Source organism: Homo sapiens, chromosome 20 (assembly GCF_000001405.40).
Source record: "Homo sapiens chromosome 20, GRCh38.p14 Primary Assembly".
NCBI classification, from domain to species: domain Eukaryota; kingdom Metazoa; phylum Chordata; class Mammalia; order Primates; family Hominidae; genus Homo; species Homo sapiens.
The window spans coordinates 17,590,486-17,613,319 of NC_000020.11; the positions used below are offsets into that span (position 1 = coordinate 17,590,486).

Below are 22,834 nucleotides of genomic sequence, written 5' to 3' on the forward strand. Positions count from 1 at the left end.
GAGCTCTAAGAGCAACTGTTCTCCAGTGGTCACTGGTACATGGAGAAACTGAAGTTGTGGATAACATATCTTTTTAAGGTAATCACAAAGCTCTTGTTATGATAGCAGTCTATTTTTGCTCTCAAGATTTTCCTTCCCATTTGTGCAGCAAACTTGGTGCTATGTTCAGAGTATCCTTTAATGGTCTTTATTGTTAAAACTGTGTACTTGAATATCAGTAACTCTTAGAAAATTTTTTAAGTAAAAACAATTTGATTTTGCTTTTTTAAAAATAAAGTTTAGGTTTCTTGACAAATGAGCAATTAAATCTAATAACCTAACATTTTAGAGAAATACTAGGGCTGGGCATGGTGGCTCACACCTGTAATCCCAGCACTTTGGGAAGCTGAGGCAGGAGGATCACTTGAGGCCAGGAGTTCGAGACCAGCCTGGGCAACATAACAAGACCCTGTTTCTACAAAAAAGTTAAAAAATTAGCCAGGTGTGGTGGTGTTTGCCTGTAGTCCCAGCTACTCTGGATGCTGAGGTAAGAGGATCGCTTGAGCCCGGGAGATTGAGGCTGCAGTGAGCCATGATTGTGCCTCTGCACTCCAGCTAGGGCAACAGAGCAAGACCCTGTCCCCCTTCCCCCCCAGAAAAACCACGGAAATACTGAAAGAATGGGACTGATGGGAAAGGCTCTTTTAGGTAAAAAGATAATAAATATCTGTAAAACAGATAATTCTGTATATTGGTGTTACAGCCACTTTTGTTTTAATATTCACCATGATGTTGTTTTGTGATAACAAATCATCCAAAATTAATACAAGAACTCTCAACTATTATTATAGATAAACTATTATTTAGTATAATTGGGTTTTTTTTTTTTTGGGCAATCCTGTATATTTTATTTTATTTGAAACACTATTTCCAGAAAGGGCCCATAGGCTTTGCCAGGAGTCCGTGGCACACACAAAAAATGCTTTGACTTTGGACCTACTAATATTGGTAAAATAAAGTACTCTTACCACTACTGCTTCATTATAAAAATTTTGCCTGTAGGCAAAGAAGCCCCTATAGCAATGAGCTACGATTTTATTCTCTTTCATGAAATTTCAGAGCAATCTTAGTGATCATCACCTGAAGCTTAGTGTAAATACAAACTCTCAGACTCTACCCCAGATATTCTGAATCAGAATCTTTAAAATCTGCAGGTGATTCCTGTGCACATTAGAGTTAGATAATAACTGATCTAGTCCACTCCCCTAAGTACAGTTAAAGGAACAAATTTAATTCAGAGATAATGACTTGCCTAAGGTGACATAGCTAGTTAGTAGAGGAATGGGGATGGATTGTTACTCTCATGATTTTAGTGCTTTAAGATATCTCCTTTTGGTCTCTGAGATGTTAATAAATTGCAGTTACTTTAATCATTGTCTTCTTTCCATCTGCTAATCTTTACCCCAGATTTTCAGTTCACCCACTAGAGGCAAAGACGTAAGAGAGCTACCAGCGTATTGAGAGGAGATACACAGGCACTACGAGAATGGAGTTTAGAAGAAGGTCAGAGCCCTGGGCAGTGTTGGGCCAGGCTTTAGGGTTAGTATTCCGTGCTTTCTGTCTGCCTCATGGTTTTAGTTTTACTGTATAAAAATCATTATCAAGAACCTAGGGACTACAGCCAGGCATGGTGGCTCATGCCTGTAATCCCAGCATTTTGGGAGGCCAAGGCAGGCAGATGACTTGAGCCCAGGAGTTCGAGACCAGTCTGGGCAACATGGCAAAACCCCATCTTTATAAAAAAATACAAAAATTAGCTGGGTGTGGTGGCATGCACCTCTAGTCCCAGCTACTCAGGAGGCTGAGGTGGGAGGATCGCTTGAGCCCAGGAGGTCAGGGCTCCTGCAGTGAGCCATGATCACATCACTGCACTCCAGCCTGGATGACACAGAGAGACCTTGTCTCAAAAAAAAAAAAAAAAAAATCTCGGAACCGGTTATTTAATCTTTATTTCTTTTATCTCGGTTTTAATATTCACCATATCTCAAGGATGTGGTAAGTAAACCATGGTATAATAAATTTAAGTATATTCATTAAATCTAACATATACTATACCTTGTGGGTTTTTTATTATTTTTGCAGGCAAAATTTAGTATATAGTGTTACTAGTCATGAAGAGCCATACTACTAGTTACTAGTCATGAAGAGCCATACTACTCTAATATCAAAGCCACCACAGTGGGGAAATTAAGGAAAGTGAGCATTTGGCATTATTAATTAGCCTCCTGATCACCATACAGACTCCTTCCTTTCCACCTCCCCTCTCCCAGTCCAGTGATTGTCAACTACAATTGATTGCACCTATGCAGTTCCCATCACTTCCTCCTTAGTAATGCTGCCACTACCCTAGTGAAGGCCTTTTGCACCTCTTGCCTTGGTTGCTGAATTAGCCTTTTAGCTGGAGTGCCTACTATAATTTTCTTCCTCTTCTTGTTCTCTTACGCATGGCTTCATGTATTTTCCCAAAGCACAACTCTGTTCCTCTTACTCTTTTTAAAAATATCCAGTCTCCAAACCCCTGAACCTTCTGTTGGAGGCCTTTTCCATCTCAACCTGGTGCGAGTCTCCAGTTTCCTTCTCCCTTATCCTCATCTCCTGTTGTATTTGCTGGGTTCTCTTTGTCAGGAGCAGTCTTTTCATCCTTTCAGTCCCCTTGTTTTAGAGTGCTTTTAAGTCAGCATGAAACTACCTGATGAACTGTCTTTCTGTTTAAGCTACTTTCTTTAAATTCCCTTCCACTGGAGTTTATCAAGGAATAATGTATATTCTACCAAGTATTGAAGCTTTGTATGTGCTGTCCTTATCTTCTCCATAAGTCAAACTAATGATTCATCTGACTGATCTTTGATTTTTTTTTCAGGGTAACACAATAATGAATAAGACAGACACCGTTTATCTTAAGGAACTTACAGTCTTTAAGAACTTGTGGCCTTAAGGAGATGATATTAAGTAATTTTAAAGATAGAGCATTGAAGTGGTAGGAGGTGGTGTGTGGTGGAGATACATGATCTTATGGGAGCATGTGATACTGGTTTTGATGCAGAAGACTTTTCTGCGTAGTGAGAATTGATCTGACATCTAAAGAGTATTAGCCAAAGAACTGTAGGGAAGTGCTATCTAGGCAGGGTGTATAGTATGAGCAAAGGCCCTGAAGTGGGCCAGAGTATGGCAAGTACAAATGACTGAAAGAAAGCCAGGGTAGTGAAATTGCAGTGTGTGGTCTATAAGATAAGGCTAAAGAGGTAGGTATAGCCAAATGGAGCCCATTATTGGGCTGGGGGTGGTGGCTCATACCTGTAGTCTCAGCACTTTGGGAGGCCAAGGCAGGACAATAGCTTGAGGCCAGAAGTTTGAGACCAGCTTGGACAACATAGTGGGACCTTGTCTCTACAAAAAAAATTTTAAAAATTAGCTGGGCATGGTGGCACGTGCTTATAGTCCCAGTACTCAGGAAGCTGAGGTGGGAGGATCACTTGAGCCCAGGAGTGCGAGGCTGCAGTTTGCTATGATCATGCCACTGCAGTCCAGCCTGGGTGACGAAGTGACACCGTATCTCAAAAATAAATAAATAAATAAATAAATAAATAAATAAATAGCTATTTTTTACCTTCAGATCAATGGAAAGCCACTGGACTGTTCTAAGTATGGTGATCAGATTCATGTTTATGTAGAGGATGAATTGGAGGGTAAAGGTGATGGGCAGTTGGTATGGGCAGTCTTGTTGTATTAGAACTGCAATAACAAATTAAATTCAAAATCTCAGTGACTTAACACAGTAAAGATTTGTCTCTGTCACGCAGAGTCCAGAAGGGTTGGGCAGCCTTCTCCTATCATGAAGTATGCTTACCAAGGTCATCTTGGTGGGAGAAAACAGAGCTTTAAGATCACTTTTATTTAACTTTTATTTAATTTTTGATGTTTTAAAAATCATTTTATTGTGGTAGGATTCACATCTAAAAAGCTGTATTTAGTGTATTTAAAGATCACTTTTAAAGGGCCAGGACTGGAAGTAGTTTACATAACTGGGCCCAGCTTGGCTGTTCAGAACTCAAATGGCTGTTCAGAACTCAGTCATACAGCCAACTCAGCTTGCCAGGAAGGCTGGGGAATGCAGTCTTTCCTGTTCAGCCAAGAAGAGAAAACAGTATGATGTATACATATCCTAATCTCCCTCCTCTGCAGCCACTTGAGGAGTTACTGCAGTCCAAGTAAGAGGCAATGGAAGCTTGGACTGAGGGTGAAATGAGATGAATGTATCAGAGAAAGATGAAAATCCAAAGAGTAAGATAATGGAGGAGTTGCTAAGAACATCTCTTAGGCTTGGAGCCTTATGTGACTAGGAGGGTGGTGATAGCTACTGAGAAAGGAAGACTGGTTAGAAATGGACCAGCTTGTTTTTTATTTTAGACATGTTGTGCATCACATGCCTTTGAGACACACAACTGGAGATGTGAGATAGGAAGTTGAATGTAAAGACTAGAAGCTCAGAAGAGCAGAAGTCTGAACTAAGTTTTGGCTTAGATGATTGAAAGCTTGAGCTTGGGTAAACTCTCTGAGGAAGAATGCAGAGTTCGTCCTTTCCTTCCACACTGCCATCAGCCTCTGCTTTCCACTGCATTGTCCTACCACCCTCACCCCTTGACCTCAGCTGACCTTTTGGAGGTCCCCAGAGCCCTTTTTCTTGTCCTTAGGTAGTTCCTTTTGGAACTCCCCGTCATAGCTGTTCTGAATTGTTAGTAGTAGTAGATTGGAGGAGTGCCCTCAAACCCATCCTACTCCTCCTGCCTTATACTTCACAGAGAAAATAGAATCTTTCAGACACAATTTTTGGCAGTGTATCTTCCTTCCACCTCAAAACTGTCATTTTCCCTTCCTCCCTGTTTCAGAGAAAAAAATGTGTATCTTTTTCTTAGGCTAACTCTCCCATCTGTGCTGTGGATCTTACCCATTTCTTTAGATCTCTGATATTGTTAATTTTATGAGTGATTAAGATTATCTCCTCTGGAATTGCTTGAACCCAGGAGGCAGAGGTTGCAGTGAGCCGAGATGGTGCCATTGCACTCCAGCCTGGATGACAAGAGCGAACGTCCATCTGGAAAAAAAAAAAAAATCTCCTCTGGAGCCAAATTGCCAGAGTTCAAATCCCAATTCCTCTATTGTTTACTCTGTGACCCTGGGCAAATTATTTAATTTTGCTATGCATCTTTAAGATGCAAATAGTGATAGTAGCTGTCTCATAGAATTGTTGTGATTTAGAAGTGTCTAGCAATAGTAAGTACTCAGTGTATGTTTTAATTTTTTTTTAATGTTTTGGCTCTTCCTCTTTATTCCTTCAAGTTCTTAAATATCTAGAACAGTTACATCTCCCCAATCATAAGACAACTTGCATGAAGTACCATTCAATCTTCCCTTTTTTCTTCATTGTTAACCATCTTATGTTTTCTGTCTTTACCTCTTCAATTCCCCATGGGTCCCCAGTCCATTATGGTTGACTTCTGTCCCATTTCTCCCATCTGTTGAAATGTTCAGAGGCCCAATTGCCAAGCCCAGCGATCTGTTTTCATTCTCTGAAATACTGCAGAATTGGCTGTTGATGACTTTCCTCCTCAAAATATTCTCCCTTGCTTCTAAGATGCTGCTTTCTTCCTTCTTTTTCTTCTTAGTTTTCTGATTACCTCTTTTTAGTGTCCTTGATGGGTTTCTCTTTTTAATTTTTACGTACTCAGTGGTGAGAAACTAGATTGGTTTTTCTTTTGCTGCTTAATGTTGGTGACCCCATGGTGTGGGCTAGTCCAAAATATGGATTAGGTGAAGCCTTCCAACGAGATCCGTGCTCATATTTCTGCCACTGTCTGGTCATCTCCACCTAGATGTCTTGCACAGTCTTCAGAGTGGATGTGTCGTACTGTGCCATATTTCCTTTTCTGTTCATATATTGCAGTCTAGTCACTAATCGAGAGAATCCTGGGGCTTCTCTGATACCACTCTTTTGTGTCTCATTCAGCTATATTGGTTTGACTTTGACATGTCCTTGAATTTTTCTGTTTTTAACCTCACTGCTGTAGTTCAGAGCTTTCTTCTCTGAATATTTGTAATTGTGTCAAAATTGGTTTTCTGCTTCCAGTTTCTGTGCCAGTTTCTCCTTCAAGTATTCAGTGTTAATTTCCTCAAGCACAAGTGTCTAATGGTATAAGAAACCTCCACAGACATCACTTCTGATAGAAAAAAAGACAAAATTCTTCCTTACTGAGGCTTTTAAGGAGCTTGTAAGTTACAGCCAGATTTGGCTGAGATTTATCTGTTTTATAATTGCAGAATGCACATTTACTTTGTTTTTGATTACTAGTACATCATTGATTTAATTTACAAATCAGAATTTAGAATGTTTGAGATGCTTAGATATTGATTGATGTATTTAAAGATTGGTTGATTGAATATAAGGCTTTAGATGTTGCCTTCCTGCTTTTAGAAATTGCTTGTTGGGTCAAATGTGACTTCAACATTATGGACTAGGGAGTTAGAGGGATTGGGATCTGTTTCTAGTTCTTCAATTTTTGTTGCTTTGAACATTTTATTCATCTGTTGCAAAATGGAGATTCTTAACTTGCTTAACATAAGATACGTTGTAAAGATCAGAAATATGCTACTCCTAAAGCAGTAAAAGGTTTAAGAAAAGTGCTTTTTAAAATTAGGAATGTGGTAATATTGTGTACTTATGAGTTTTCTAGTCCTAATTTTCTGTTTCTGCCACTTTATTAGAGTGAATGTTCATTTATGAACAGAAAATGTGGAGTAGATGGCATTGGAGTGTGTTATTTAGAGATCTTTAATGAATGAGATGATGAAATAGCCCAGTTACCTTAATATTAAGTAAATGCTAGGATCTTAGTGTATCTTTCTCCCAGGATTCTTGCATGTGTTTTAAAGTGACAACTTTATTTTTATTTGTTTGTATAAATGTATGGGGGTACAAGTGTAATTTTGCTACATGCATGGATGGTAGCAGTGAAGCCAGATCTTTTAGGGTATCCATCACCCGAATAACATACATTCTACCCATTAATTAATTCCTCATCCTCCCCTGGCTCTCCATTGTCTTTTATTTCACACTGTGTCCAGGTGTACACATTATTTAGTTCCTAAGTGCGAACACATGGTATTTGTTGTAATAACTTTATTGAGGTATAATTCACATACCACAAAGTACAGTTCAATTCAGTGGTTTTTCAGTATATTCACAGTTGTGTATGCATCACTCCTGTCAACTTCCAGAACATTTTCATTACTTCAGAAAGGAACCCATACTCATTAGCAGTCACTCCCCATTCCCCTTTTTTCTCAACCTCTGGAAACCACTAATCTACCTACTGTCTGTTGATTTTACCCAATTTGAACATTGCATATAAATAGAATCATGCAATAGGTGCCCTTTTCTGTCTGGCTTCTTTCACTTAGCACAGTGTTTGTCAAGGTTCATCCTTGTAGCATGTATCAGTACCTCATTTTTTTAATGGCCAAGAAATATTCCATTGTGTGGATATACTACATCTTAAAAATCTATTCATCACTAAATGGACTTTAGGATTGTTTTCACTTTTGGTCTATTTTGAATAATGTTACTATGAACATTTGTGTACAGGTGTTGGTATGGACACATTTTCATTTCTCTTGAGTATATATACCTAAGAGTGGAATTCCTAGGTCAGGTGTTAACTTTATGTTTAACTTTTTGAGGAACTGCCAAACTGTTTGCCAAAGCAGCTGTACCCTTTTACAGTTCTACAGTAGCATATCAGGGTTCCAAGTTCTCCATGGCCCCACAAACATTTGTTATTGTCCATCTTTTTTATTTTAGCCCTCCTAGTGGGTGACTCATTATGGTTTTGAAGTGAAGAGGTATCTCATTATGGTTTTGATTTGCTTTTCCCTAATCACTATTGATGTTGAGCATTTTTTCCACGTCCTTATTAACCATTTATACATCTTTGGAGAACTGTCTATTTAAATCCTTTAAAACTGTTTTTTAATTGAAGTATTTGCCTTTTTTTATAATTGAGTTGTAAGGGTTCTTTATTCTGACAAGTTCCTTGTAGGATTTTTGGATGTTTTCTCTCATTCTGTTGGTTATCTTCATCTTATATGCATTTTTATTTCTTAAATGATTTGACATTTGGGTATCATTAATATTTTTCCATTGTTTAGTATTTAAATTCTATTGCTTATGATTCATTTTTCCCTTTTTATTAAAAAAATTTTAGAGGCACGGTCTCCCTATGTTGCCCACACTGGTCTCAAACGCCTGAACTCAAGTGATCTTCCTGCCCTCTCCCTCTAAAGTGCTGAGACTACAGGCATAGCTACTACCCAGCCTAAAGATACCATTCTTGACTCAAAGCATGGTTTTACATAAATTGACCATATGACCCAACAATTCCACTCCTAGTTTTCTACCCAAGAGAATTAAAAACATGCCCACACAAAACCTTGTACACGAGTGTTTATAGCAGTGTTAATAGTCAAAAAGTGGAAACAACCCAAATGTCTATCAACTGATGAATAGATAAGGAAAATGTGGGATATCCAAACAATGGAACATTATTCAACAGTAAAAAGAATGAAGTAACCAGCCGCTTTGTCATGCACCTGCAGCCCTGGCTATCTGGGAGGCCAAGGCAGGAGGACTGCCCAATTTTAGGAGTTCAAGGCTGTAGTGTGCTATGATCATTCCTGTTAATAGCCACTAGGCTGCAGCCTGGGCAACATAACGAGACCCCATCTCTCATGCACCCCATCCTGCATCATGGCTGAACATTCCAGATACTTCACAGCTCCCACCTGCTTAGCCAGGGAAGGGCCTTGCTGAGGAGTCATTGGCACTTGGCTCTGCTCCTTCAGCTTCTTCACTGTCTCATGGTCACTCCACAGGTCCCTTTTGGTGCCTACCAGCATAACAGATACATTGAGGCAATGATGGGAGACCTCTGGGTACCACTTATGCCTCACATTGGCCTAAGAGGATGAGTTGCCAATGGAAAAACAAATGACAGAGATATTGGTCTTGGGGATAGGAGAACAGTCGCAGTTGGTCATATTCCTCCTCTTGGCCAGTGGTGTCCCACAGGTTCAGGCTGATGATTTGGCCATCCACAGATGTCTGGGTGCTGTAGTTGTCAAAGACATTGGGCATATACTCCTTAGGAAAGGCATTTGTTGTATAACTGATGGGGAGGCAGGCTTTGTCTACAGCCACATCTCCTGCAATCACACATTTGATTGTCTACATTCTTCCCTTAGTCTGATCATCCTCCAGTGCTGTTCAACCATGACTGGCAGAGCCTCCTGGGCATCTCTTGTTGGGCTTTATAATTCTTGCTTTAGAAAAGCTAACATGCAAAACAAAGTAGTTAATGAGGCATTAACAATTATGGATATAATAAAGTTAATGTAAATAGCACATTCCTCAAGATGAAAAAATTAAAAACTGGTTTAAGATCTTGTGCTATCAAGATTTTGTTTAACTGTCCTTCAGCCCAGAATAGCAAGTATAACATAGCGAAAGGTAATTTTTCTGGTCAGTATAATCCCTAATTAAGCTACCCTCTTTATTATAGCAGTAGACATTTTCTTATTTATTCTAATCTTAGTTTAAAATTTGGAATTTTTAAGTGAAATTTTAATGGCAAGTGTGACTAATACTGAATATTGATCACATAATTTTGAAATGTGAGTAGAGCAAAGACCTCTTAATAAATCTTTTTTTTTATTAGAGAAAGAGATGCTGTAGGGATGGAAATTTCCCAGTCTAGCAGCTATGACCAGCTACTGTGTATTACAAAAGGAATTTTAGGTATCATGAATATACACACTGGGAAGATGATCTGCCTGTAGTCAAGGCTCTAAGCAACCTGTATAAGAAGAAAATAACCCAGCACCTTAGGAAACACTTCTTTTAAGGTTCTAGGGTAGGAGAGGCTGCTATAGTTGAATGTTTCCTTACCCCTGTGCAGTAGTGAGGAATGGCATATATTTGTGATCTTTTAAAAAGTTTGATGTCTAAAATTAGTAGTGATTACAGCTCAAATTTCTAGTTTTTTAATTAGATGATATACCTTTAAAATGTTAAATATATGCCAATCTATAAGCAGAATTTATTATTTTATGTTTGGCACAATAAAAATTGTAAGTCTTTTTCTCATGTATTTTCTCATCATAGGCCTCAGGAGTGCAAGTAGCTGATGAAGTATGTCGCATTTTTTATGACATGAAAGTTCGTAAATGCTCCACACCAGAAGAAATCAAGAAAAGAAAGAAGGCTGTCATTTTTTGTCTCAGTGCAGACAAAAAGTGCATCATTGTAGAAGAAGGCAAAGAGATCTTGGTTGGAGATGTTGGTGTAACCATAACTGATCCTTTCAAGCATTTTGTGGGAATGCTTCCTGAAAAAGATTGTCGCTATGCTTTGTATGATGCAAGCTTTGAAACAAAAGAATCCAGAAAAGAAGAGTTGATGTTTTTTTTGTGGTAAGCATGTTAGAAATATTGAGCCTCTGTAAAACTCATTTTGTTAGCACTCGGGAAGACCAGTTCCAGCACCAAAGTAATTTTTATTCAAACTATTTGCAGTTGTTGTCATTTAATTTTTATTTACAGGTTTCATAATGTTACCAGGGCTGATGTTTATGGGACCCAAACTAAATTTTGACTATTTTCTATCTACTTGTTATGTGACTCTCCGTTTTTGTTTTTTTTTTCAATGGGGAAAGGACAGGAGGCATCCTCTGAATGTACTGCTTTTATAGGCTAAAATTTCCTACTACTTTTAACTTTCTTACTTATAAGCCAAAACCCTACTTTTCCAACGAGCCATGCCAGGAACCAGCCTTCTATCTACTCTTTTAAATTACACCCCTTCCTTGTGCCTCTGTGGTCTACTACTTTTGAAGAAATTGGTACCATTCCCTCCCTGCTATAATTTGCTCTACAGTTGCACTGTTTAGTAGTGTAGTCACTAGCCACATGTGGCTATTTAAATTATTTAAAATTAAAAATTCAGTTTGTTAGCTGAATGAATTACCACATTTCAAATGCTCAGTAGCCACATCTGACTAGTGGCCACCTTATTGAGTAGCACAGATACAGAACATTTCCATCATTGCAGAAAACTCTGTTGGGCAGTGTTACTCTTAGATAGTGAAACAGGGCTATAAAGTTATTTTTATGGCCTTTTTCTTGAAATGTTGTTTAGTTATTCTGGTCTTTTCAGGCAAGTCGGTATTTGAGATGAAGCTTTAGAAAAAAGTTACACCTGGATCCCTCATTTATTGAATATTATACTGCATTCCTTGATATGGCCAGGAGTAGAATTCTTTAGTTTCTAAGGGGAGGGAGAAATGGTAACACTACCTGATTTTTTTCTTTTTTTTTTTTTTAGAGGGGCAAGGATTCTCTTGATACTTTGGCCTGAGTCAGGGCAAGGCAGGGAGGGACTTAGCTTTTAGCTATGTGCCATCAATAGCTTGGAGTGTAAAAGGGATATGGGAGTAGGAGATGCAGAGGATTGTGGTTTAAAAAGGAAGATAACTCGAGGTCACACCTCACTTGTATTTCAGTAAGCTTTTACTGCACTTGATTAAACCAAGTTGCTGTGAGGAATGCAAATATGAGGTCAGGGTGCACGTATTCAGGCAGCTTAGAGTCCATTGAAGCTGGTACATAAGACTGAAAATTAACAAGGATTTGAATGAAGGTGCATTTACTGAACTTTATTTCTACTACACGCCAGCTATTGTGCGAGGGCCTGGGAAAACAGCTGTGAATAAAACAGGTTAAGTCCTTCCTCTTCTGGCATTCACAGCTGAGTGGCAGACAGGCCAGCTAATGGTTTAGGCTTTTAAATTGGTCGGTATTTCCTTAATTTGCAGGTATTTTTTCTGCTTTTTATGTATTTTGTAATTATGAAAAGTATGCATTCTTATTTTTTTAAATGTGGAAAATAATAGAAGAAAAGGAAATTTAGTGTTAGTGCAGTGGTTTATTTTGCACTGTTACACTGTTACTTAAGAAAAGGTAGAACCTTATTAAAGGCATTTTCTATAACAAGCTCCGCCCATGGCCCAGGGAGCAGCTCTTAAAGTAGTTTAACAATTTGGTTAGAATAAAAGCAGAACAGCTGATGCTTTTTTATGTTTCTGACCTATTTTCATAACAAAAGTACCCACTCTGCTGGGCGCAGTGACTCATGCCTGTAATCTCAGCACTTTGGGAGGTGGAGGTGGGCAGATCACGAGGTCAAGAGATCGAGACCATCCTGGCCAACCAACATGGTGCAACCCCATCTCTACTAAAATTAACTGGGCATAGTGGCACACGCCTGCAGTTCCAGCTACTCGGGAGGCTGAGGCAGGAGAATCGCTTGAATCTGGGAGGCAGAGGTTGCAGTGAGCTGAGATCACGCCACTGCACTCCAGCCTGGGTGACAGAGCGAGACTCCGCCTCAAAAAAATAAAAAATAAAAAGTACCCACCCTGTAGCTCAAACATCTGCCAGTCCTGAGGTTGTGATGGCTCTGCCTCCTTCCCTGGACCTTAGGATTGGGAGGAATAAGCCTCTGAGAGACAGACTGCCCTTTTTCCCAAGAATGGAATCTCTGCTCACTAGGGTAAGGGGTACACTAGGTGAGGTCCACATGCCAGTGCTCATGGCTGTTGAATGTCCTGGAAATATGGCAGCTAAATGGAATTATTAAATGCTCAGAAGTATTTAGCTATACCGTAATATCTTAATGACCTCCAGTAGGCTCTTGGAAACTACAGCTTTAAGCAAAACAACATACACCAGGTCCTCAAATAACGTCATTTCTTTCAATGTAGTTTTGTTATAACATTGAGAAAAAAAAATACTGGTTTTGGTATATGTCATTTTGTTTTAAGTCACAGGCTCCAAGAACTGATTGACAATGTTAAGTGTGGACTTACTGTACTGCATCTTCTCTGTGATATTTTAGCAGTGTGGCATGGAGGTGGGCCTATGGGTTGGCGTACAGAGGAAAGAAGGACCTCCGTGCAAGCAGTCTGAGTGGGAGGGTTTCTGTCCGTTACTAATCATCCTTATTCTTCAGTGTTGCTGCTGAAGGTGCTGTGACACATATGCTGTGCTTCTAACACGCTTCCCTTCAAGAGGGAGAACGTGCTCCAATGTTATAAATATAAAAAGATAGTAATAATATTGACAGTTAAGACATAATTATTGGTGAGTTGCCATTTAGAAATCTTTAGAATCATGAGATTATACAAGTGGATTTAATATTTTTTTCCAGAGAATTATTGAAACGTGGATGCCCAGATCTGTAATTAAACATGTATTGTTATGTTAGACTAAGAAAACAAGTACCTGTGGGATCAAAACCTGCTATTGGAATAGATGAAGGGACTGGGGAAGTCTAAGAAAAGGACTTTTATTTGTAATTTATTCTTTTTTGTCCTTTTTTTTAAGTTTTTGATTTATTCTTTTTTAGAAAACAATCTGAAGCAAAGGTGCCAAAATATTAGCATTTAATTCTGGGTCACACGTACTTACGGATTATTCTCTGTACTTTTATGTATTTTAAAACTTTTTTCCAACTAGAAAAACTGTCAAAAACCTTGTGTAAATATTAGCCTGAATCCAATCCCTTATTAATAATAATGAAAAATATTCTGAAGAAAAAGAATTGGGTTATACAGTGAAGTACTCAGTGTTGGTTCTTTCATTATGGCGACTGTAATCTGATTTTTAATTGGTGATTGTCTTTTGCCACCAGTGGTTCTCTTCTTTTTTCCCACCCTGGTCAACCTGAGTGATTCTGCATATGCCTATCTGTAGCATTTCCTCTCTGAGCTGCTGGGGAGGTAGAAAAAATGTGCAGTTAAGAAAAAATATCTCAGGAGAGTCTGAGGATTCTCAGCAAATGTTTACACAAGCAAATGTTTAACAAGTTGCAAGTTATACTTTCTCTAAACCACTTTTTTCATTTTTGGCATCTTTCTATCTAGGGCACCAGAACTAGCACCTCTGAAAAGTAAAATGATCTATGCAAGCTCCAAGGATGCAATTAAAAAGAAATTTCAAGGTATGTTCTAGATGACCTCTGAATATGTAGAGGTATGGTGAACACTCAGAATGGGGCAGCACCTTTTCTGAGAAGCACCTTATTTTTTTGCAGAGCTTCGGGCACAAGGGAGAAGTGTTACTTGTTTTGAGAAAAGCAGAAGACTGAATTTGACTTTCCATGTATCTTCTGCTTTGTGCTGGTTGCTCTGGGTCTGCCCAGCCTGTGTTTAATAACTATACCCTTGACATTGTCTATATATATCGTTTATTCAGGCTGGTTTTAAACTAGTTTGAGGTGCTACCAGTTTTCTCATGTAGGAGGTGGAGACTGATTGTTTAACATTGGACATAATAGTAAATTTGCTCTTGCCTTTGAATGTAGTTGTTATAATAAAGTTGCAAAAAGGAAATGTACCTAAATGAGAAAGGATGCTCTTTTCTCCAGCTTTACTGTTGAATGGCATGATTTTAGGTAATTAATTCATCTGTGTCCCAAGGAAAGTGCACCCACTCCTGAGCTGGTCAGTTGTATTTGACTTGCCACTGGGTGATTGGGATCCTGATGAGATGGCCTGGCCAGACTTCAGCCAGGAGAAAATGTTGGTATGATGGAAAGAACGTGCATGGGGCAAGTGCCCAAAGGCCTGCACTGAGGGCGAAGCCTGTCTAACTGCTGTGTGGCCTTGGCCAGAACTGCTTAACCTCCATGGGCCTTGATTCTCTCAGCTGTAGAAGGGGAGACTTGGTCTCATGTGTGAGTTTTAGTTTAAGAGTTTGCCCTGCCACCTTCCTGCCATGGCTGTTTCCAAACAGCTGAGTGAGCCAAGGTCACAAGGGCTTGGCCTGATGTTGATTTTGTTTTGTTTGTTTTACTGTCACTGGTTTTTATATTTTCATGGTAGAACAGGTTTGCCCTAGCCTGTTTTACTTAGTTCGGAAAAAAAAATTCTTGCTTCCTTTCCCGAGCCTTGCTGCTGCATAGTTTATTGCTGGGTCAGGTTCTTCGTGCATTTGGTTTGATGTTTGGCAACCCCCAGAAGTGTGTCACTGGGTTGCTAACTGACACTTTTAAATCCTTTAGCTTCAACACTTTCCCAGCCCAACCAAAAGGTTCACAGTGGATTCCTTATTATCTTTATTCTGCATTGCCTTTCAGTAAAGGGAATTGCTTTGCACACTTGATTTGGTGATACTAAAAGATAGTGGCCGGCTGGGTGTGGTGGCTCATGCCTGTAATCCCAGCACTTTGGGAGGCTAAGACAGGTGGATCACCTGAGGTCAGGAGTTCGAGACCAGCCTGACCAACATGGTGAAACCCTGTCTCTACTAAAAATACAAAAAAAAAATTAGCCGGGCGTGGTGGCACATGCCTGTAATCCCAGCTACTTGGGAGGCTGAAGCAGGAAGAATGCTTGAACCCAAGAGGCAGAGGTTGCAGTGAGCTGAGATCGCACCATTGCACTCCAGCCAGGGCAATAAGAGCAAAACTCTGTCTCAAAAAAAAAAAAAAGATAGTGACCATGCTGCCTTTTTTCTAATGAAAGCATCCACTGTCTTTCTCAGATCAGTCCTGAGTAGTTCAAAAGCTGACCTGCTGTGCTTTCAGCAGCTTGAGAAATAATGGTCTTTAAATGATGGGAATAACCATGCAGCTATTTAAAAGACAGTGGCCATTTACAGAGAAGCTACTGTATGTAATCCATAATTGAGCTCGTTTTTGCATTGTGGTAGTGTAATTGTTCTAAGAAAGCAATCAGTAACATATTTCACATAGTTTTCATTGTGATCGATTTCATAAATGTGTAGTGTAATACCATTGAAGAGCCAGCTGTTTACTTTTCAATACAGTTGACAAAATCAACTGTGCAATCAAAAATCATTTGTATTTTTATGTTTTAAAAACCAAGAAAATTTTCTTACTAGACCTGCCTTTTAGCTTTTTAGCAAAGTACAACATATCTTTAGAAAAGTGTATGTCACAAATTATTGTAGAATGTGTTGAATTTTTCAGAGTGAACATAATGGTTATTTCTTAATCTAATGACCAGCACCCCAGAAGCCTCCCTGGTGCTGTTCCCTTCAATTCATAGCACTTCTGCCTGCCCCTTCCTCCTCAAAGTAGCCAGCACCCTGGCTTCTAACAGCGTAAGTTAGCGTGGGCTGATTTTGTATGCTATACCTATATATATAATAGAATATATGCATTTTAAATCTGGATTCTTTCAGTGAATGCTGTTTGTGAGGCCCATCTATCTTGATGCATGTAGTTACAATTATTTTTTCTCGTTACTGTGTAGTATTCCGTGTTTGTATATACCCCAGTTTATCCAGATTAGAACTGGTCTTTTAAAAGTTTGGTTATCTTAGAGAAAGAGGTAAACTGCTGCCATAATTGTAAATAGAAGTGTTGTTTTTTCTCTCTAGGCATAAAACATGAATGTCAAGCAAATGGACCAGAAGATCTCAATCGGGCTTGTATTGCTGAAAAGTTAGGTGGATCCTTAATTGTAGCCTTTGAAGGATGCCCTGTGTAGATTATTCAGTGCCACAAATTGAAAGCTTCCATGTTTAATGTTATCCTCTTGCTATATAAATAAAGCAAATATATTTAGGCCAGGGTCTCACTGAGGGGGAGCTGTCTTGTCATCTTTTAGAGTAAACTATTCTATAAACATATGCAAACAGCCCTAAATAAATCTAAAGTCTAAAGTTTTATTGATGTGAAATTAAATTCTTATTGGCCAAATGCCTGTTTTGATGAGTTGATTTATAAAGATTTTTGTTAAGCTCAGGATTTTAAATTACACAGTTCACAAACAGTAAAGGCCATGTGAAGAGAATTATTACATCTTTATTAACCTCAGCATTTACTTTGTTTCTTTTGCTTAGGAAATTGCTCATAATCTGGTTATAATTTTGGTCCAAATTCTTTATTCTTCCTTGAGCTAAGCAGAATAATGGAATATAATATGTCTTCATAATATAACAACACTAATACACTAATAGTAAGATTAAGTTAGGCAGTCTTCTACCAAATGTGTAATGGAGATTGCCTCAAAATTGTGTCCACATAATCCACGCTCATCTTGCAAAGCGCTATTTCAGGCACATCATTGGAATACAGGAAGTAGCCCTGCACCTGCCAGTGAGCTCGCCATTCACTGATTGGAAGAGTGACCTGGCATCTTGGAAATCATTGTGTGTCTTCAGGAGAATGTGCAGTGTCTTGTAACAACTAATTATAATGCAAATTAGGGCTACATTGTAATCTGCTTTGTTAATGAAAATGATAAAACAGAATATTGACAAGCTAGGACACCTGTGGTATCTTTAATTGTATCTCCTTCAGAAGTTTGCTTCTTATGGTATAATAAAGTATGGAAGAATATTGAGTATATGTTTACTCTGGGCCTGGGAGAACTTAACTTTCTAGAGCAGTTTGTTGACTTGTGTGCAATGGGGAGAGGTACCATGATGACACTCACAGGGAGCCACTGTTCACTGACACTTGGAAGCGGTCATTGTTAATATCACGGGCGTAACACTTTGAACGATATAGAGATGCACAAACAGTTGAACTTAGAAGTAGCAGTATTGGCTTTATGTAATAAAGGAAGCATTTTTGACTTACCTCTCGTGTAATTTTCATGTGTGAATTGGGAATACAGGATTTTGCCTTCCATATGGGGTAAGGCATTGAGGTTTGGGTATTTCCAATAATTAAGAGTTAAGGTTGGCTGAGTGTGGTGGCTCACTCCTGTAATCCCAGCATTTTGGGAGGCCGAGGCAAGAGGATAGTTTGAGGCCAGGAGTTTGACAATCAGCGTGGGCAACATAGTGGGATCTCATCTACTAAAAATAAACAAAATTAGCCGGGTGTGGTGGTGCACGTCAGTAGTCCCAGCTACTTTGGATGCTGAGGTGGGAGGATCACTTGAGCCCAGGAGGTGAGCTGAGATCGTGCCACTGTACTCCAGCCTGGATGACAGAGCAAGACCTTGTCTCAAAAAAAAAAAAAAAAGTCACAACTCCCTCTGGTGAATAAGAAAGTTGGTGTAAAAGTTGGGAACGTTTTCAATGTTTATTACACTATAAGTGTAATAAATATTATACAAAATTATAAATTCACATTTAAAATTTAGAAAATAGAGAAAAGGGAAATTATACATTGTCCTACCACATGCCATCACATGGTTAGCATTTTGATACACAGCTGTGCATTATTACATGTCAAAGACTGCATATACTATGGTGGTCCCATACAATTATAATGTATTTTCTACTGTAATTAGATACACAAATACCATTGTGTTACAGTTGCCGACAGTATTCAGTATAGTAACGTGCTGTCCAGGTTTGTGGTCTAGGAGTAATAGGCTCTACCATACAGCCTAGGTGTGTAGTAGGCTATGCCACTAGGTTTAAGTGCAGTCTAGGGTGGGGAACATTTTAATGTTGATCCACATGCCAGGTGTTTGTGAGACAAGATTATGCTTTAATCAAAATATTTTGGAATTGTCTAGAAAATAGTGCTGGCTGCTTGTCATTCATCCTGAATTGCTTGTTTCTTTACTTTGTAGCAATGCTTTTAGTGTGGGTTTTGTTTTTTGAGACAGGGTCTCACTCTTTCCCCCAGGCTAGAGTGCAGTGGTGCAATCATAACTCACTGCATCCTTGAACTCTTGGGCTCCAGCAAGCCTCCTGCCTTGGCCTCCTAAAGTGCTGTGATTACAGGTGTGAGCCACTGTGTCCTGCTAGTGATTGTGATTAACAGGCCTCCAGGGAAGTGCCATAAGCCCAAGACTGCCGTACTCAAAAGTCAGCCATGTAGGTAAAGCAAGATATTTGGTCAAGGAGTTTTAGAAGGAGATTTTTCCTGTGGTGTTGGCTTAAGTGTGGCACTGTTGTGCGTGTGTGAGGTGTCTTCTGTGGGAAGGATTTCAAACAGTACAAAGGGATGTGATGTAAGCATCCAGAACTCACTCCAGAAATTGAATAAAATGCTAGTAGTTAGTCTCTAGGGGAACTTTTGAGAAAGTCTCAGTGGATTCCTGAGGCCCAAGAATTGTGCTAACAAGCACTCAAGGCGATTCTGGTACATAATTAGGGTTCAGACCTCAGCTGATTGGTCTACTGTTGGTCAGGAACAAAACTGCAAGTATACTCTGTTTCCAGAAAATACGTTTACCTCTTCACAAATGCTAACACACTGCAAAAATATGTTTGTGGAAAGCTGACTTAGTCTCATCTAGCGGTTACTCTCTTGCCCTGACAAAGCAGCAAATAAAGCCATTGCTAACAATTCAATCAGAGCTTGACTGTGAAGTTATCTCAGATAATATTACTCTGCAAAAACAGTGGACACAGTGACTTGGATAATAGGTTTGGTTTGGTGGTTTCCTTTCTGCAGAGTACCGGCTGCCGCAGGCACAGCAAGTGCAACTTGTTTCTTGACTATAATTGCCCTTCGGACCACCAGAGACTGAATATGCCCAACACGCATCACTTCTTCGTGATTTGGGGCATTTCTGAAATTGAGAACGGGCTCTAGACTGGGTTCCAGCTGGACTGCAGCTGGAAGGGACAGTAATGGCATTATGGCTGGTGAGGGGAGTATTCCAGGAGCCAGGGTTTCAGTGGAAGGCAGGCTTGAGTACCGTTTTGTTACTGAGGGCTCTCTGGGTTCTGCACAGTCCCAAAAGGGCACTGGGGAAGGGACTTATGGAGCCTCTGGCCAGTACCCTCAGTAACCAGCCCAGAGGTGAATTAACTTGCCTAAGGTTAATCGACTCACAAGTGGCAGAACTGGGACAAAAACTCAGATCTCTTGGTTTCTGTTCCTGAGCTATTTCCACCACCTCAGGAGAATTCACTTCATTCCTCTTATTATAATTGGATCATCTTTCCACATTTCTAACATCTGAAATTCAAAGGTTAGACCTTGTTCAGTGCTGGGGTGAGATTTGAAAGGGCCAAGAAGGAAAGCATTTCTTTTGCACTCTGAGCTCTCATCAGACCCAGCCCTGAAGGAAGTGTAGTGATGGCATCTGTGGAGGGCGTGGAGTGGCTTCTAGAACAAAACCTCGCTTTCCCCGCACCTGTCCCTCAGGCCTCGCTGGCTTCCTGCCTTCACTGCACCGCTTCCGTAGGTGTGGCCTGCAGGCGCAGCATCGTGGTGCCTGTGTGTTCCAGAATATCACATGGAGACACCTGAGGAAGCTGGTCAGGGCGCAGCTGTCTGTGAGGGGCTTCAGGTCTTGTTGTGCTGTCTATGGGCCATGTTAACCTGGAACTTCACATCTACTCTGTGGGCTCTGATCCATCTTCACCCAGCGGCCCAAACCCAGGGTCTGGCTTTGTGAAGCTGGGCCAGGGAGGAGCAGTGGTTCCTCTGTCGGGCAGCAGCTGGGTGAGTCCTGCCTCCACGGTGAACTTCATTCCAAGAACAGCACAAGCCAGTCCTCTGGTGCTGCCTGAGCTCGGCTACAGCTGCAGGACAGGGCTGCGAATGGCCAGGCCAGTGACCTGTGCCACGCTGGGGAATGCTGTGGGGCTGGGGGGGTGCTGCTAGCCCCTTCCGCAGGAAGTTTGCGAGGGCTGCGCCTCAGCTGGCTTCCCTGGAGCCTGACATGGAACCTGGCCTGGGACAGTTGAGGAGGCCCGGCCCACCTGAGGCAGGGCCCAGCCGGTGGCCTGGCAGACTCAGGCTCCCTCTGCCCACCTGGGAGGTACCACTGCCGGGCCTGAGGACTGCTCTGGCCCTGCTGGGGCAGGCGGGGACAACAGATGATGGGCCCTTAGAACGAGCTGCAGGAGAAAAGCTCCCAAGTGGCATTTTCCTGAACTCCCAGGCCAGCCGCACAGGAGTCCTACACCCTGTGCTACCTGCCTTCGGCTTCCTCCCTTCTGCATGCACAGACCTGGGGCTCCCAGCAGGTGGCCTGAAGGAGCAGGCTTTTAGCCAGAGTCCAGGAGGAGGCCACTGCCCCTCACAACCCAGAGGCGGCAGCGTGGCACCCCAGCATCCCTTGTCTCTTTCCCCAAGGTCTCCCCTTTCCGCTGCTCAAAATGGGTACCCCTGCCCCATTCCTGTGCCTTCAGAGGGGATCAGCCCAGCATGGAGCGCTCAGTCTCGCAGTGTGGCAGGTCGAGGGGGCGATTCGGTGGCAGCCCTGGCACAGGTCTGTCCGTTCCCCACACTCACCGGGGCCCACACCACTGACCTGACCTACAGCCACCCACGTGCAGAGTTCTGCCTCCTGCAGGCGGCCTCCCTCACCCAGAACCTGTGCTCCCACTCAGCCCCCTGTACCAGATGCATGGGGCGCGGATGCAGGGGGCCCAGTGGCTGTTGCGGGGCGCTCAGCCCAGGGTGTTCTTCCCCAGGCTCCCCACATTGCAGAGCCCAGCCCTGCCCCACAAGCACTGACCTCCCAGGCTGCGGGGCCTAGCCACGTGTCAGAGAGATGGGTTTGAACCTGCCCAGCCTTTAGCCCGGGGAGGTACCTTCACTTCCATGGGGCAGGATGCACCTCACCGGGAGGACCGAGGGCTCGCTGAGCGCCAGGCACAGGGCGGGAAACGGGCAGCCATCAGGTGTCCTTGTGGGCACTTCCTGCTACTCAGTCTCCCAGCCAGAAGCCAGGATGTCAATGTCCCAAGACCGTGGGATCCCTTTCTGCTTCAGCCTCCTCTAGAGAATTCTAAAACAGGCAGGCTTGGCTCTCCCTGCTCAGAAACCTCAGTGGCTGTACTGCCTCCCCAGTCCAGGGCCCCCCAGTCTTGGTAACCTGGCTCCACAACAGGCCGTGCCTCACCCCGCCCTCCACGCCTCTACGCTGCTGCTGCCTGAGTGCCAGCCTCCCTCACCTCACACACATCTGCTCTTCCTGGGAGCTCAGCTTAAGCCCACTTCTCCAGGGGCCTTCCTAGGACTCCCAGCACCCAGAACAGCCATGACGCACAGTGCCACATACCATAGCTGGGTGGCCCACAGGCACTTCCTGAGAACTGACATAAGGTCTGGGCCGAGCAGTTTGAGGCTAAGCAGTTCAAGGCTGCAGGCAGAGGCCGTGTGGGGGGCTGAGGAAGGGAGGCACACAGACGCACACCGCGGGGCTTCCCTTGGTCTTGAGGTTGTGAAAACCATCCGAGTCACTGCCACCACCTGAAGGGGCCATGCACGACAGAGATCCCAGAGCAGGCCACCTGCCAAGCTCATAGGCCTGTGGAGACCCCGGTTCTTGCTGCCACTGTCCCTGACAGAACCCTTCTCACAATGTCGTCCTGGAGGACCTGCCATCCAAGAGCCCAGTTGTCCCCCAGCCAAGTTCGGCCAAGCAGACCCTCTCCCAAGATTCCGAGGCTTGGCAGGGAGATTAAAGTGAACAGTCCTTGGTCAAGGCAGACCCGCCTTCCATTCCGGGCTTGGTTGGGGCCCTACTGTGACTCTGAGCCTCTGAACGTCTTTGTGGACTAAGCTCCAGGTTCCTATTGTTTACACTCAAAGGGACACACTTCTTGGGGCCAAAGACCATGCTGTCAGGGGCCGCTGAGGACACTGGGTCTGAGGGTCGTGGCAAACCTAAGCTGGTTTCTGCAGGTGAAACTCCACCTCCCGAGGGCAGGCAGTGGGCTGCTCCAGCCCTGGCCCACCCTCCTGGGGTGTGGGTGTCTAAGCCCCAGCCAGGACAGAGACCCCTTGTTC

The 22,834-nt window shown here is 42.1% G+C and overlaps 1 protein-coding gene and 1 pseudogene across 2 annotated transcripts in view, besides 2 other annotated features; one reads left to right on the top strand and one right to left on the bottom strand.

Annotated features, from left to right (window-relative positions):
- Positions 1 to 19,434, top strand: part of DSTN (destrin, actin depolymerizing factor) — a 39,845-nt gene extending 20,411 nt beyond the window's left edge. The window contains exons 2-5 of one of the 2 annotated variants that reach the window (NM_001011546.2): positions 1,447 to 1,578; positions 10,253 to 10,560; positions 14,070 to 14,146; positions 16,552 to 19,434. In NM_001011546.2, coding sequence (NP_001011546.1) covers positions 10,301 to 10,560; positions 14,070 to 14,146; positions 16,552 to 16,661 — 447 coding nt within the window. In that variant the 5' untranslated portion in view covers positions 1,447 to 1,578; positions 10,253 to 10,300 and the 3' untranslated portion in view covers positions 16,662 to 19,434. The remainder of the gene's footprint in view (positions 1 to 1,446; positions 1,579 to 10,252; positions 10,561 to 14,069; positions 14,147 to 16,551) is intronic. The other variant, NM_006870.4, reaches the window with a different exon arrangement.
- LOC100286962 (ras homolog family member G pseudogene) lies at positions 8,812 to 9,322 on the bottom strand (annotated as a pseudogene).
- Positions 12,013 to 12,514: an enhancer, noted in NCBI's record as "NANOG hESC enhancer chr20:17583143-17583644 (GRCh37/hg19 assembly coordinates)". NCBI's record gives its function as "activates a minimal SCP1, AML or CMV promoter by ChIP-STARR-seq in primed H9 embryonic stem cells {active_cell/tissue: H9 hESC(primed)}" and the evidence as "EXISTENCE:reporter gene assay evidence [ECO:0000049][PMID:30033119]".
- Positions 21,257 to 21,980: an enhancer, noted in NCBI's record as "H3K27ac-H3K4me1 hESC enhancer chr20:17592387-17593110 (GRCh37/hg19 assembly coordinates)". NCBI's record gives its function as "activates a minimal SCP1, AML or CMV promoter by ChIP-STARR-seq in naive H9 embryonic stem cells {active_cell/tissue: H9 hESC(naive)}" and the evidence as "EXISTENCE:reporter gene assay evidence [ECO:0000049][PMID:30033119]".